Source organism: Homo sapiens, chromosome X (genome assembly GCF_000001405.40).
Source record: "Homo sapiens chromosome X, GRCh38.p14 Primary Assembly".
NCBI classification, from domain to species: Eukaryota; Metazoa; Chordata; class Mammalia; order Primates; family Hominidae; genus Homo; species Homo sapiens.
Window position 1 is genome coordinate 72,011,922 of NC_000023.11, and position 16,089 is coordinate 72,028,010.

Genomic DNA, 16,089 nt, shown 5'->3' on the forward strand with positions numbered 1-16,089 from the left:
TGACTTGTCTATTTATGTCTTTAGCCCATTTTCTGGTTGAGTTGTTTGAATTTTTAACTGTCGAGTTTTGACAGTTCTTTATACATTTTAGATACCAGTCCTTTGTCAGACATATGGTTTGCAAACATTTTCTCTTGGTCTGAAGCTTTTTCTCATCCTCTTAACAAGGACTCCATAGAACAAAACTTGCTAATTTTGATGAAGTCCAATTTATCAATTTTGTTTTTTTGGATGTGTTTTGGTTTTCAAGTATAAGGTCTGGCTTATATGGCTAGCTTTAGATTCCAAACACTTTCCTGTTTCTTCCTAAAAATTTTATAATTTTACATTTAAGTTTCTGATCCATTTTGTTGATTTTTTTTTTGTATAAGGTGTGAGATAGATTATATCATTTCCTGAGGCTGCCGTAACAAGTAACTGTAAACTTGGTAGCTTTAAACAACAGAATGTATTCTCTCATGATTGTGGAGGCCAGAAGTCTGAGCTTAAGGTGTGGGCAGGGTTGCACTCCCTCTGGAGGCTCTAGGAGAGGATCCTTCCTTGTCTAGTCCCGCTTCTGCGGGCTGCCAATACTCCTTGGCTTATGGCCATGTCACTGCAATCTCTACCTCCATCTTCACATCATCATCTCCTCTGTGTGTCCGTCTTATAAGGATACGTGTCATTAGATTTAGGACTCACTTGAATCCAGAATGATCTCCTCATCTTAATTATACTTGCAAAAGCTCATCTTCCAAATAAGGTAACATCCCTAGGCTCCGGGAATCAGGACGTAGACGTATCTTTTGGGAGGGCACCATTCAGCCCACTACACAGGTCAAAGTTCATTTTTTGGTCTATGTCCAGTTGCTCCAGCACCATTCAAAAAGGCTATCTTTCTTCCATTGAATTGCTTTTGTACCTTTGTTGAAAATCAGTGGGGCATATTTGTGTGGGTCTATTTCTAGGTTCTCTACTCTGTTTCATTGATCTGTGTGTCTGTCCCTCCACCAATACTACATAGTCTTGATTATTGTAGCTACATAATAAGTCCTGAAATTGGATAGAGTGATTCCTCCCACTTTATTCTCCCTTTTCAAAATTGTTTTGGCTATTCTAGTTTCTTTGCCTTTCCATATAAATTTTGGAATAAACTTGTCTATGTTTAAAATATCCTCCTGGAATTTTGATAGAGATTGAGCTAAAACTATACATAAATTTGGGGAGAACTAACATCTTTACTATGTTAAGTCTTCTGATCCATGAATGTGGCATATTTCTTTCTCTATTTAGGTCTTCTTTGATTTCTGTCATCAGCATTTTGTAGTTTTCAGCATATAAGCGCTATACATATCTTGTTACATTTACACTTAAGTATTTTGTTCTTGAGCAAGTGTAAATGGCACTGTATTTTTAATTTCAGCATCCATGTGTTCATTGCTAGTATATAGAAATACAATTTATTTTTGCAAGCTTATCTTGTATCCTGCAACCTTGCTAAGCTCACTTATTAGTTCTAGGAATTGTCTTGTAGATTCCTTGGGATTTTCTATGTAGACTATAATGCCGTCTCCAAATAGGAGCAGTTTTATTTATTCTTTTATAATCTACATGTTTTATCTTTTCTTTTTTCTTCTTTTTTTTTTTTTGCCTTATTACACTGGTTAGAACTTCCAACACTATGTTGAATTAAGGTGGTGAGAGCAGAGATCCTTGCCTTGTTTCCAATCTGAGGGGGAAAGCATTTAGTCTTTCAAGCATTGTGTTTAATGTTAGGTATAAGTCTAATATTGCTTGATCCAGAAAAAAATATATATATATTTGGTGTAAGTTGTATGTAGATGCTCAAGTTAAGGAAGTTCCCTTTTTGCCCTATTTCTCAGAGTTTTTTTTAACTTATAATAAGTGTTAGATTTTATCAAATGCTTTTTCTGCATTGATTAATATGATCATGTGATTTCTATTAGTTTGTTACACTGATTGTGTAGAATTAGCATACAATTCTTTAAACATTTGGTAGAATTCTCCAGTGAAACCATCTGGACCTGGAGATTTTAAAGGGAGTAGTTTTAAAATTATGAATTTCATGTTTTTAATAGTTATAGGGCTATTCAAATCATCTATTTCATATTTGGTAGATTTGGGAAGTTTATATTTTTCAAGAAATTGGTCTGTTTCATCAAAGTTGTCAAAGCATGTAGCATTGTTCATAGTATTCCCTTATTACCCATTTGATGTCTGAAGGCTCTGTAGTGATATTCATTTCCTTCCTGATATGAGCAATTTGTATGTCTTGCTAGAGGTTTGTCAATCTTACTGATCTTTTCAAAGAAGCAGCTCTTTATTTCATTGATTTTCTCTATTTTTCTATTTTCAATTCTGCTTATTTATGCTGTTATTTTTATTATTTTCTTCCTTCTGTTTGCTTTGGCTTTATTTTGCTCTCCTTGTTCTAGTTACTTGAGGTAGGAACTTAGATGATTGATTTGAGACCTTTTTTCTTTTATAGTATAAGCATTTGGAGCTATAAACTTCTTTTTAAGCATTGCTTTAGTTGCATCTCATAAATTTTTCTATGTTGTATTTTCATTTTGATTCAGTTCAATGTATTTTTAAAATTTATCTTGAAATTTAAATTTTCATATTTGACCCATGGGTTATTTTAAAGTGTGTTGTTTATTTTTCAAGTTTTAGATATTTTCTTATCTTTCTGTTATTGATTTCCAATTTGGTCACAGAATACATTTCATTTGATTTCAATTATTTTAAATTTGTTGACATTTGTTTTATGACACAGGATATGTCTAACATGTTTTGTATTCCATGGGCACTTGAAAAGGATGTGTACTCTTCTGCTGTTGGATGAGATGTTCTATAAATGTCAAATCAAATCCTGTTGTTTGAGGGTGTTGTTGAGTTCCTATATACCCTTGCTGATTTTCTATCTAGTAGGTCTATCCCAGATGCCTGCTCAGCCTTCTCTGACTTCACCCCAGTGGGGAAATTTGGGGCACCTGGTTATAGCTTAGCAAGGGTGAAAAGCTATGTTTTCAACCCCTCCTTTGCTGGTGGGGTTGGGAACGGGACCACATATTTTTTTCTGTGGTATTTGGCTAAAGAATTAGTGTATAAAAATTTCTGTCTTGGTAAGAGAGCATGATTTTTAAAAAATCTGCCCCTGTTGGTATTTTCAGTTTGCAGACTTTTTCAGCTTCAACTCTGGGATATATGAGGCAAAACAAAAATCCAGGGAACTCACCACATGCCGTTCCTTGAGTCCTGAGGTCTCTTGCAGGTGTACATTCTTCTCTCCACCTCCTCTCCAGTCTTTTTGTGTTCATTTTATATATAATGCTCACGGTTTTTTGTTGTGCTTTAGAGGGAGGACCAGGGAAAAGTATGTCATTCCATCTTCCCAGAAGCAGAAGTCCTAACTTATTCTTTTAAAATGTTATGTAACTTTGCAGAGTATGACTTTTATCAGGATTTATTTAACTATTCACCCATTGATGAACTTTTAGGTTGTTTCTTAATTGTGGTGGCTAACACAATCTTTCAATAAACATCCATTCAATAAACATTTGTGTACACGTGCAGGAGTTTCTTCATGATAGATGCTAAGTGGCGTTGCTGGGTAATAGGGGATGCACATTTTCCATGTTAATGGGTGTTGTCCAATTTCTACCCATAATGGCTGTGCTCCACCCAGCAGTGTATGAGAGTAGCAGTTTTGCTCAACTTCTTGACAACACTTGATAATAGTCAGACTTTGAGTTCCGAATGTAATGAGTGAAAGATGATATCTGGTGGTTGTTATCATTTGCCTTTCCTTGATTCCCAGAGGCTGAATATCTTTTCAAATGTCTGTTGGCCATCTGTAACTCTCCTTTTGAATTACCTGTCCATATACTTTGCCCATATTTATTTTGAGTTGTTTACCTTTTTATTGATTTACAGAAATTCTCTATATATTTTTATTGTTCTTTGTCTAATACATACATTTCAAATATATTTCCCCAGTTTATTATTTGTCTTTTAACTTTATTGATGGTGTCTTTTGCCTAAAAAAAAATTATTCTTTTGTGTAGATTCAAATTTGTCAACCACTCCCTCCTGGCTTTTGGGTTGTGTTTGTGTGTTGTTTAAAATGACTTTCTCCATACCAAAGTCACAAATATATAAATCTCTATTTTTCCCATTACAGGTTTCTATTCTTTTTTATATTTAGTTGTTTGAGCTATGTGGAATATGTGTGTGTATAGTATGAGGTAGGGATCTCATTTAATTTTTATCAAATGGAAAGCTAGTTACTTCAGCACTATTCGTTGAATAGTCCATTCTTTCACCACTGACTTATAAATGCAGCTTTTATTATTTTATTTAACACCTTTACATGAGTTGGCTTGAGAGCTCTCTGTTCTCTTTCACTCATTTGTCTACTTCTGTGCCAATGCCACACCCTGTTAATTACTGTAGATTTGATACCTTGTATAATGTCATCCTTCATTTGTTCTTTTCCCCAAAAAAATTGTTTTGGCTCTTCTTATACATATTCTTTTTCACATGGATTTTAGAATCAGTTTGTCAGGTTCTGTGAAAAATTCCTCTGGAGATTTGATTGAAATAGCAATGAGATTATAGATTAATTTAGGGAGACATCTTTTCTCCTTTTCTCCACACAACTTTTTCTCCTTCAGAAAGACCACTGGGGCCTGCACGAAAGATGTTCAGGGGTCAAAGAACCCACATAACCCATCCCCAACACACACACACACAAACACACACACAGAGACACACACATTTGTGTCTGTGTATTTGTGAGGACCTACACTTCAGGCTCTGAGGGTAAATATTTATTATAAACAGAGGCTCTGGACACTTGCTCTGCTGTTCAGTGGTACTTCCAAAGTAGGGGCAACTCTTCCTTTTCCTGATCACAAACAAACCAACCCACCAAAACTCTGGCTTGATTACATACCTTGTTGAACTTCACAGAAGGGAGTGAAGAGTGGACCAAGTAGAGAAGCAGCATATGGTAACATTAGGAGCCAGTGGGGCTGTGCTGTTTTATCCAGGAGAGCCCAGGGTGACAGCAAGTTATCATGAATGGTGGAGGATGGGAAGTACCAGAAATTAGGAGTGGCCCCTGTTCCATGCTGGTGTCTGTGGGTTGGGGTCCTGTGGAACTAGGAAACAACCCACCCCAGAAGGGTGCACTCATTCATCATGCCCCTCTATATAGGGGAAGACGGGCTGGGTAGCAGGGCCTATTGGGCCTGAATGTTCTGGATAGACCAAATTGTGGGTTCAGAGGAAGTTCTAGCTACCTTTGGGTCCACTGCTGACATAATACTCTCCAGTTCTGTGGAGATTTTGTCTTTGTGGGGTGCTGACACCTGGATACATTACCCTTCTACAATACAGCCATGCTACCTGCCCAGTGGTGTGTCCCTTCAATGTTGCCAGCTGGCAGCAGGTGCTCGCAGCCAGCTGCACAGGTGTTGATGCCTGGCCTCAAGGTGGGACTGCCAGAGCAGCTCAAGCTTCCCACTCAGGTGCTCCAGCAAATTGTAGGCCCAGAAAGACATTCAGTAGCGTGAGGCAGCCTTGGAGTTAAGCTGGAGCCCTCCAGACTTTTCCCAAGGAGGAAGTAGGGGCTGGCTTAGGGGTTCTGTGGTATGTGCAGATGCTGTCTGGGCAAGCAGCACTGCCCTCACCTGTGTTCCAGCTAACAGGATGGACACTGCACCCAGATATCTGCGTTCTCCCCCTACAAGGTCATGGTCCTCAAGGCAGGAATGGGGTCTGAGCCACCAGCACTACTCTATGGACCTAACTGTCTAACAAAGCTGGCAAAATATTACTCAGATAGAAGGCAGAATCAATTGTAGTAGATACCTGAGTAGAAGTACAAAGTGATGTATGGATTTTAATTGCCCCACTTTTTGAAATCCGATCTATCACTAAGTCCTTCCCATTCCCAGATCTGTAATCTTTTTTTTTCCCCTCATTTTCCTGACTCTAATTTAGACCCTGCTGAGCCTGCTGGGGTCTCAGGTGCTACTCCTCCAATCTGTTTTCCTTTGGTGCAGCTTTCGAACTCACAGCTCTGATCACTGCCCTCTGCCCTATATAATCTAAAACATATTTACAGAATCAAGCCCAATGCTTACCTGACTTTCTTCTTAAATGCCATTTATAGCTTTTCTTTTCTTTCTAAAATGGTAAATGTTTATTATGGTGCTTGACTTTCAAGGACCTCTATGAGGTGGTCCAACCTACCCTTCCTTTGCTTGTGTGGGGGTGAGGACCTGGGAGGTTAGGGGGACCATGCAGCTTGATGCTATGGAAAGCACACCTCGAGCTCTGGAATCAGAGGTTACTGGTTAATCTAGGCCCTCCCCTGCTTCTTATCTGCTTGACCCCGGCCCTCGCCTCACCGTTCCCCCGCCCAGTTTCCCTCTTGTTAAGGTGGTGTGATAAAAACGACCCCTATCCCGGGTTAGAGGTGAAAACTCAACGCGACAAGTGGAGGAGAGCGGGCTTTTAGCGCCAGAAGCTTCCATGATGCCCAGGTCCGCGGGCAGGGCGAGGGCACGGGCCGGGGAAGCAAGCGTTGCCGCGCCGCTACCGTCGGGGGCCGGCCCCCGGGCTGCTTTTCGTGCGCGGAGCAGCTCGGCCAGTCACCAGGCGCGTGCGGAGGCGGCGAGCCTGCGAGGGCGGCCGGTGCGGGCGCAGCCGGCGCGATGAGTCACCATCCCTCAGCACCTCCGGAACACGAGGCTGCTTGGAAGCAGCCGGGCCCCCGCCCGCCCTCCTCCCCCGCCCCGCGGAGTGGCGGCGCCAGCCCGATGCCCGGCAGAGGGCGCTGCAGTGCGGCTGCGGGGCCACCGGCCCGCGCTGCTCTGGCTGCCAAAGGCCGGCGCTGCCTTTGGCTCAGAGGGAAAGATCGGGGCCCAGGGATGGGGTGCGTGAGGAATGAATGTTTCTGCAGTGCCAGAGGTGGCTCTGTTTTTGATCCAGAAACGAAATGGACTTCAAGATTCAGACACTGGGCAGAGTGATGGGGCCGACACGGCCCCTACTGGAGAGTGTCCAGTCTTGATCGCCCCAAGCTTTTGAGCAGGGATGTCCTGTCCGAGGCTGGTGTCGTCCCCACTCTCGCCAGAGAGGATCTGTGATAGGATGAGTCTCGCCTTTCCAAAATGAATCTGCCTAAGGACCCAGTCCTTGATCTCCTCTGTGACCTCTTTCACCTGAGGTGATGGAGGTTACGAAGATTGGAGCTGTCTGCAGTGGAGCGCAGGAGAAAGTGCACAAGCTTTCGGGTGACCAGGGTTTCAGTGCCAGCTCCATCATGAGATTGCTGTGTGACCTTGGTCATTTCATTATTCATTCATTCATTCAGAAAACACTCACTGTGTCACAAGGCACTCACGGTGAAGGGAAGAGAAGGAGGCCAAGCCTGTGGAGACAATTGCCCTGACCATAAAATAGCTTAGGCCAGGTACAGAAACCCGACACGTAGGTAAACACTGGCTGAATGAACAAATGCGATGATTTAGTCACCACACACTAGGGCAGAGATTTTTGGTCACTTATGCTCCCGAGTACATGGAACAGTGCCTGACACACAGTGGGTGCTCAGTAATTTGTCGAATGAATGACAGAGGAATGTACTGAGTGTTCTGTGAGCACAGCAGAGGCCACCTAACTCACAAGATTCTGTGCTGTTTGAACCGAGTCTTGAAGGAAGGGTTGGGATTAGTTAGGCAGACAAGGGCCAGATGGAGGGTGATACAGGCAGAGAACAGCCTGTGCAAAAGCTAGGAGTCCTCAGAGTTCTCACCTCTCTGAGCCTCAGTCCCTCCTGTGAGAAGGAAAGGATAGGGCTGGCTCTGTAATTTCTCAGATTTTTCTAGATCTAAGGTTCTCAGATTCAACAAATGAATCCAGTTACCCTAGTCAGAGCCTGACCAGTGCTGGGCAGTCCAAGAGACTCAGGTTTTGACTTTTGACTCAGCCCATCTGCAGAATAAAGGCCTGGTGATCTCAGGCACCCCTTCTCCATCTGCTTCCTCTGTCTTTCACCTTAGAAATCTCCCCTGAATCCTATCCCCATAGGATAAACTATCTGCAGCACAAAAGTCAGCACTTACTTGTATTCTGCCATGATTTTTCTTCGTGTTATTTTTTGAAATAGTCTTTATTTACAGATTTTTACACTAACACAGGCTAATTGTGAAAAAACAGGAAAGTACAAAGAAGAACATAAAAACTCTCCGTAATTTCACTACCTGGCATAGTTCCTTGATTTTTTTATGCCTTCATTAAAATACACACACACACACATACTTCAGCTCACACAGCAGCACTGACACAGATCGCTGTGAGTCTTGTGTTCCCAGCAAAAGCATGAGCTGGGGACAGTTCTCTCTTTCTCTCCATTAGTTTGTCTCTGATGGGAAGAGATGTTGGCTGGGACCCCAAAACTCTGACTCTTTAACCAGCTGCAGATCATCAGGCTAAATCCTCAAAGAACATACTGCTCAGAGGACGTTTCAGTCTGAGGCAGGGCTCTGGACGCAAACCACTATATGGCCTCTTCTTCCTTCCTGGAGTTGGGCTAGGGTTAAGCTAGATTATGTGGGGGCCACTAGCCCTGCTTTGGTCCAGACCAGAGACAGTGCTGAGCAGCTTTCTAGGGAGGGGGGAAGGGAGTGCTCTGGGATTTACTGCCCCACCTGTCTGAGAGAAGCCCCCAAAATAAACCCATAACCCTAGCTGACTTGGTTTCCCTTGGCCCCTGCCGTTTTAAAGCTCCATCCCCAACACAGTGGCTCCTTTTTTGCCCTGGTTCCTTGCTTTTCAATGTGTAACCCATGGACCAGTGACATAGAAAACAAGATCTCTAGATGATGGTTTGTATGTTGACTCTGAGAAGCAAAGTGCAGATTCTGTTTCAGAAGGTCTGGAGAAGAACCTGAAATTCTTCATTTTGTAACAAACTCTCAGGTAATGGTGACATAGCTGGTCCACAGACCACACTTTGAGTAGCAAAGATCTAGATTCCTCTTTTGACCTTGTCTTCTCTGAAAGTGAAAGGGCAGGGGAAACTCCCTAGAGGTGAGGGTGTGTACACACACACACGCGTGCGCATACACACACACACACACACACACACACACAAATATTGAGGACTATGTTCTGGGTGTTCAGTGAATGCTTGCCCTGTTAATGCAGAAAGCTGAGGAGTGAGAAGACTTAAAGCTGTGTTCCCACCTCTCCAATCACTTATTCATTTCAGTGATGATAGCATCAGTTTCTCAGTCACCAAATGGAATTGGTTCCTTAGACATTTTTGCCCTGGCTCTGCCTCTATTTTCTTATTGCTTCTATTCTCAGACACTTCTCATCTATCCCCTGCCTTCCTGTCTGTGGTCCCTTTCCCTCCAGTTCACTGCCTGTCACCCAATTCTTGTTACCCAAATCCAACTTAAAATCACTGGACGTGTGTGCTTCAAGGGAGAGTAAGTGGGCAGAGAAAGGGAGCTTCTCCTCAGGGCCCAGGTAGGCCTTCAAACTTCCCTTACTCTGAATCTATACTGGGGTAGCATTATTATTCCCTAGGAAACTGAGGCTCAGAGACATTGAGTAACTTGTCCAAGGTCACACAGTGAGGAAGTCAGAATTGAGATACGAATCCACATCTCTTTAGTTTTAAAGCCTGGGCTCTCCACGATATCATCCCTTCATCTTACTCAGGGGGAAGATGAAGATTGGGTGACTTAAGGTCATTCAGGGAGTCAGGGATGGGACTGAGGCTGGAAACTCCCTTCTTCTGACACTGTAAGTAAATTTTCATTCGGTAGCTCCTCTGCTCAGAAGCCTTCAGAGAAACCCTCTTGCCTATAGAATTGAAACTTCTGAGCCTGACAGCCAAGGCTGTCATGGTGCCCCTGCCTCAGCTCGGCTTCTCCTTCTTCCCCAGCACTTTACTTGGCATGTGGAGGTGCTAGACCATCTCTCTTTTCCTCACCTACCAGTGGGGTTCTTCCCTGAATCCTGTTCCTCCCTAGCCTCAGTCATGCCTTAGAATTCCTCTACCATGGTGCCTCTGCTCTCTGGGATATTTTCTCGACCTCAAACACCCAGGCACTCTACCTGCTTCTCAGAATCTTTCCCATGCTTCAAGAGCATAGGTTCTCACCCCTCTGGGAAGCCCCCCACCCACCAAAGCTGCCCTGAGCCCTTAGAGCCTTGAGCTAGGAGCCTGTCACTTTAGCAGTGCTGCCGCCTGTTGGTGGTTTGAAGAGCTCCACCCCAACTCACAGATGAGGCCAATAAATATTATTATACTATAATAAGCCTCTGCAGCTATACCCCATGGCTTGAAGAACTATTTCCAGAATCTTTCTTCTCCATTCTGAACTTGCTTTCATTACTTTAATGTCTCAACCCATTTGGGCTGCTGTAACAAGATACCATGGACATGTGGCTTAAACAACAATTTTTTTTTTCTTACAGTTCTGGAAGCTGGGAGTTTTAAGATCACTGCACCCATAGATCCGGTGTCTGGTGAGGGTCCTCTTCCAGGTTTGCAGATGGCCCCCTTCTCCTTGTGTCCTCACTTGGCAGAGAACAGAGAGAGGAAGCAAGCTCTCTGATGTTTCTTTTTGTAAGGGCACTAATCCCATCATGAGGGATCCACCCTCAAGAACTAATCACCTCCCAAAGGCCCCATCTCCCCGTACCATCTCACTGGGGAGTAGGGTTTCAACATATGAAGAAGGGTGCACAGACATTCAATCCATGACACTTAGTGTGTCTAGGTCCTAGAGACCGTATCTGGTTTTCACAACTTTCCCAGCCCTGTTAGAGTCTGAGGCTTAACTTAATCCCCACTTTTTGATCCTAGATGCTGCTTCAGATCACCCCACCTCCATGACTTACCTATTATACCTTGCACCCAACAGCTCTTTGCATTCCAGCCTGGATACAGTACCCCAGGTCCCTGCTTGGCCTGAAAGGAAAGTCAAACATGGCTGCCTGGTTATCCATTCACTATTTCTACTACTTTCTAGATCTTGTCTTCATAAGTAAACTCTAAGCTCCTGGAAGGCAGGACTGTCTGTGTCTTATTCTTTTCTTTATCCTTTGCAATACCAGCATTTTCTTTTATTCATTCATTTATTTCTTAAAGACTGAATGTTCATTCTCTGCCAGGCTTGATACTAGGTGTTGGGGCAGCAGAGGGGAGACAAATATGGTCTAATATATTCTAGTAAATTCAAGGCAACAGGGAAGTCCAATGACATAAGATTGGCAAATTGACTTTGGGCCCAGGCCAGTAGAAATACGTGTGAAAATGGTTGGGGAACAGGCAGGGCCTGCCTATGCCTAGAACAGATAAGGAAGAAAATCAGGCTGGCGGATGCTGGAGGCCTGCTTCAAGAACCTTGGGGAGAAATGGGAGAAGGAGATGGAGTATTGTCTGCTTTTTCCAAAATGAGTGCCTAGAAAGGGAAGTGGCAATTATGGTCCTGATGAAAACAATATTTCCAGTTGTTACCTGAAACAATAGGATCTGGGGGTGTGATTCTCAGAGGTGGGTGATGTAATGGGAATAGCACTAAACTAAGCTTTCTAGCCCTCAAATTCCATGACCCTTTGACCTGAGTTTTGGTTTCAGCTCTACCTCTTGTTCACTATCAGACTTGGCTAGCTCCATTCCCCTGGCTCAGCCTCAGTTTCCTCCTCTATGACATGGCAGGATGTGGAGTGGGGTGGTGAGTGAGGAGCTTGGACTCAGGGACTGCAAGCTTCCTCTGAGCTCTTGACATTCTTGGCATGCAACAGGAAGAGAAGCATGGATTAGGAAGGTTCTATTGGAGGTTGAGACTGGAGGCAGGGAGGCTGGTGGGGAGGCCGAGGCAGCAGTGCCAGTAGGAGTAGAGTGGGAGAGGGCCTGAGCCAAGGCAGGAGCTGACAGATTGGTGACATATTTAGGAGGAAATGGAACCGACGGGAACTGTCAACTGATGAGATGGTGAGGATGAAGGAGGAGGAACCAAAGAGGATGGAGATTTGACTGTGCCCTAGGAGGCCTGAGGGAGAGGAATCTTGGGTCCCAGGCCTAACACTGCCAACAAGCTTCCATGTGACCTTAGGGTCTCTTTCTGTTTCAGTTGCCACATCTGCACAGTAAAGAGATGGCTCTGATGCTCCCTAAACCCCTCCCTGACCCCTAACAACTATAACAAATTAGGGAGCGCTGTGGGTTTCCAAATCAGTCTTTAATTTGTTAGAAGTTTGTAGGAAAATTCTGAACTCTTACACAGGAAGCTGAGATCTATGGTAGGGCTTGTAACTATAATGGTTTGGTGGTGAGGTAAGGACAGCGACTGAGGCTACAAATGGGGCTACCAGGAGAGGCCCTGGGGACTTCTCCTCAGGTGAAGCCCAAGAGTTGGCAGTCCTTGAAACACGGGCTTACTTCTTGACCTAGGAAGATGTGGCCTTGGCAGTATTTTAAAGGAGACATTTGAAGATCCCAGATCCCAAAAGAATACAAATGGCACAGTACTCTGCATGGTGTTTGAGCCATTTTTGCTGGTTCATTAACTCATTTCATCCTCACAGGTACCTTCATTTCACAGATGAGGACGGGCACAGAGAGGCTGAGTGGGTGGTCTAGATCACATAGCTAAAGAACAAAAGAGCACACAAAGCTGTTTCTGGGGCAGTAAGCCACAGTGCTATTAGCAGCATCTGTGACTGTCACTACTAGAATCACAGCTATTTTCATATCACATTACGGTTGTGGCAGGGATCTCAGAAAATCATCTATGCTCATCACCACTTCAAAATGATAATAGTCATTAGACCCACTGCTTGATCGTGTTATATTGAAGGTGTTAATCAAGAAGCACATATGACTATATTGTAAATTGCATCTCAAGATACAGTAATCAGTTTCCTTTATAATCCTAGGTAATTTATCTAATACATTTAGAAGCATTTTTTGAAATATGCAATACATTGTTATTAACTATAGTTGCCTATGTTGTGCAATAGGACACCAAAACTTTTTCCTCCTCTCTAACTGTAACTTAGTGCCTATTGACCAATGTCTTAGATTTTAAATATTCTCACACATAATAAATGTGTGATAAATGATCATAATGATACCTATTTGAGGTCATGGATATACTAATTTCCCTGATTTGACCATTCCACAATGTATACATGTATCAAAACCTCACAATGTACCCTATAAATATATACAATTATTTGTCAATGAAAAATAAAATAAAACTTTAAAAACACAAAATAATAGCTACTATTTTCTACCCCCAAAGATCTCCCACCTATTTTTTTCCTAGAAAGGGTCCCTAAGCCGTGCCAGACTGCCAAAGGCATGACAAAGGGGTCCACGCCATGGCCTAGAAGGCACTCCTGATAGAGGGTGGGCTGGAGGCTTGGCCAGGCTCTGTACCAGGCACCTCACCTATGCACTCTCACCTCACCCTCCCAACTCCAGGAACTCGGTGTGATTATCCCACTTGACACACAGGAGACCAGCGCTAGACAGGAGGGAAGCCTTGTCTACAGTCACCAGCATGTAAGTGCGGAGCTGGGACACACATCCAGGTCTGTCCGACCAGAGTCCATTTTGTAACCACTGCAGCTCTCTGTCTCCTCTGGAAGGTGACTGCCAGCCCTTAAATGGAGTTCCCTCAAAAACAAATGACCCATTTAGGGCAAAGGACACCTGAGTGGAAACTAAGTGACACCATTTTTTTCAGCCCCAGTGCACATTTCCAGACCTGGGGTGTGGAATGAGGGCTCTTCCAGGTATGAAGGGAACGTCTTAGAGCAGTACTCGGTTTGATGCTTGGCAGCCAGGGCATAGTGGTTGATGGCCAGCTGCATGCCTGAGTTCAAATCCCAGCTATGCCACTTGCTGTTTGTGTACTCTTGGACCCATTGCTTAACCTCTTGATGCCTCAGTTTCCTCAATGTAAAATGAAGTTACTGATAATATCTCCTAAGGTGGTCCTGAGGATTCAGTGAAGTAATACACATAAAGCACTTGGCACTGTGCCTTGAGCTGTGGTGTGAACCAGTGCCATTATTTTCTCCTAAGAGAGTAATGCATGAAGGAGACTCAGGGCTCCTGGAAGACCTTTGACGTCTATTAACCCTTTGTCCCTTCCCCGTCTGTTATCAGGGTCTCCCCTGCCCGATTCCCTGATGTATAGACAGCAGGAACCTTTAAATCCAATGTTCCCATCTGTGGCTGCACATTAATATCACCTGGGGAGCTTTTGAAATGGCGCTGCCCAGGCCTCATCCCAGACTATTGGAATCTGACTCTAGGGATGGGGATGGAGTTGGAGTATTTTTTCTGCAGCTCCTCAGGAGATTCTAAAGTGGAGACAAAGCTGAGAACCATGGCCTCAGAAGGAAAAGGGCCTGTGTGCTGCTCTTTGGGGACAACAAGGAAGGAAGAAGAAACTCAGAGATCATGCCCTGCTCTGCAGACAGGATGAAAAAGAACAGAAGCCCAGGCATGGGGAGGAGGTGGGCAGCTTTAAGCTTTAGGAAACAGTGGGAGCTGGAGCCTGCAGCAAGAAAGAGCTATGGGGAAGGCACCACAGCCAGAGGCTGTCCCAGGCCCTGCCAGGCCAATGGCCTAGGTGGTTTTCCTGCAGAAGGAAATGGGAAATATGGAGGTGAGGGCGAGATAAGGTTGTAAGGATGTACTCACAGCCTCTTTCTGCACCCTCAAATGGCAGATCCTGATAAGTTGTTAACACCTTGTAAGAAACACGAGAGACAGTCTGTTCCACCTCCTCCCCTGGCACACATACAAAATGACTCCCCATCTACCCACTCATAAGATCACATCCGGATTCCACCATCACCCAACCCAGCAGAAAGTCCCACCTCTGGTCTCTGTAAATATCTGCCAGCCAGAGCAGTACAGCATGCCAGGGTCAGACACCAGTTCCCCAAGTGTGCTACCTTTTGTTATAAGAGGAGACTTCAGCAACTTGGGAGCTGGGCAGGGCTGCAGTGATGATCTTTTCAATGTGTGAAGAAGGGAAACTGTGTTTGAGAGGAGAAGAGGAAAGTGGTTGGCCTATGGTGCCACAGGGAGTAGCAGAAGAGACAGGATTCCCTGTCCAGTGCTCCCTTCCCTACACACCCTGAGACTTCAGCTTTGGTCCCTAATCTGCCAGTGCCAGGAAACTGGCCCACTTCCCACTACAGCCCTGTGGCTCTGACAGGGTCTCTCATGATATCCAGCAGAGATCTTGAGTCAGCTGCTCTGAAGGAACTTCCAGTAAGGCTCCAGCTTGGAGTCTGGATCAGGAGTTGGGGCATGGGGCATTTTGAGTTTCGTGCTTATGTTGCCTTCCCCCCATCTTTTGCTCCTGGACATCTTTTGGCTAGGTGGGGTTTTCCTCACTCCCCACCTCCAAAGCGGAGACTATGTCTTTAAGAAAGGACGAGTCAGAGCCGCGGGGATCAGTTTCAAGCAGCCCTCAGAAGGCGAATCTGGATTGAGTTTAGGAAGAAAAAAGAAGGGGTTAGCTTTGGTCCTGCCTCCTTTCCTTTCTCTCATTTGCTCGTCTCTCCTCCGTCCTTCGTCTGGAAATTTGGTGAACTTGGCCAGGAGGTTCCAGAGCCCAGGGCTTTCCCCAGCAGCCTCGTCCTCTCACCTGGTCCCTCCTTCAGCTCCTGAGCACACAGTTTGGAGGACAGCTGGACAAGTGGCTGGAATGAGTAGGTACGTGGTCTGGACATTTTAACCTTCACCCTGTCAGGGAAGTCTGGGGAGTGTCCAACACAGACCCTGTGGGAGGCGGAAGGGAACTCTCAAGACCTCCGAGAACCTTGGTAACCGAGGCAGGAAGGAGATGGGTGGGCTTTGGTGACTCCACTAGGGGTTTTGTATTAAGGGTCAGAAGGAGGCTTGGTCCATGCAGCCTGGCCTACCTCCACCCTCGTGAGTTGCCTACCAAACCCATGATGGGTGGGAGTTTAGGAGTGTGAGGTGTTGAGTTTGCTGCTGCTGCTGCTGCCGCTGCTGCTGCTGCT

At 44.7% G+C, this 16,089-nt stretch overlaps 1 protein-coding gene across 9 annotated transcripts in view, besides 2 other annotated features; it reads left to right on the plus strand.

The window, feature by feature from the left end:
* NHSL2 (NHS like 2) overlaps window positions 1-16,089 on the plus strand; it is a 242,442-nt gene that overhangs the window by 101,077 nt on the left and 125,276 nt on the right. The window contains exon 1 of one of the 9 annotated variants that reach the window (NM_001438808.1): window positions 15,595-15,778. The exons of the other annotated variants lie outside the window; for them this stretch is intronic. The gene's annotated coding sequence lies outside the window, so the exon portion shown is untranslated. Of the gene's footprint in view, window positions 1-15,594; window positions 15,779-16,089 lie in introns of those variants that run through there. 9 annotated transcript variants of the gene reach the window in all.
* Window positions 6,559-6,938: a silencer, noted in NCBI's record as "silent region_20900". NCBI's record gives its function as "represses an Ori minimal core promoter by ATAC-STARR-seq in GM12878 lymphoblastoid cells {active_cell/tissue: GM12878}" and the evidence as "EXISTENCE:reporter gene assay evidence [ECO:0000049][PMID:35858748]".
* Window positions 6,919-6,968: an enhancer, noted in NCBI's record as "active region_29753". NCBI's record gives its function as "activates an Ori minimal core promoter by ATAC-STARR-seq in GM12878 lymphoblastoid cells {active_cell/tissue: GM12878}" and the evidence as "EXISTENCE:reporter gene assay evidence [ECO:0000049][PMID:35858748]".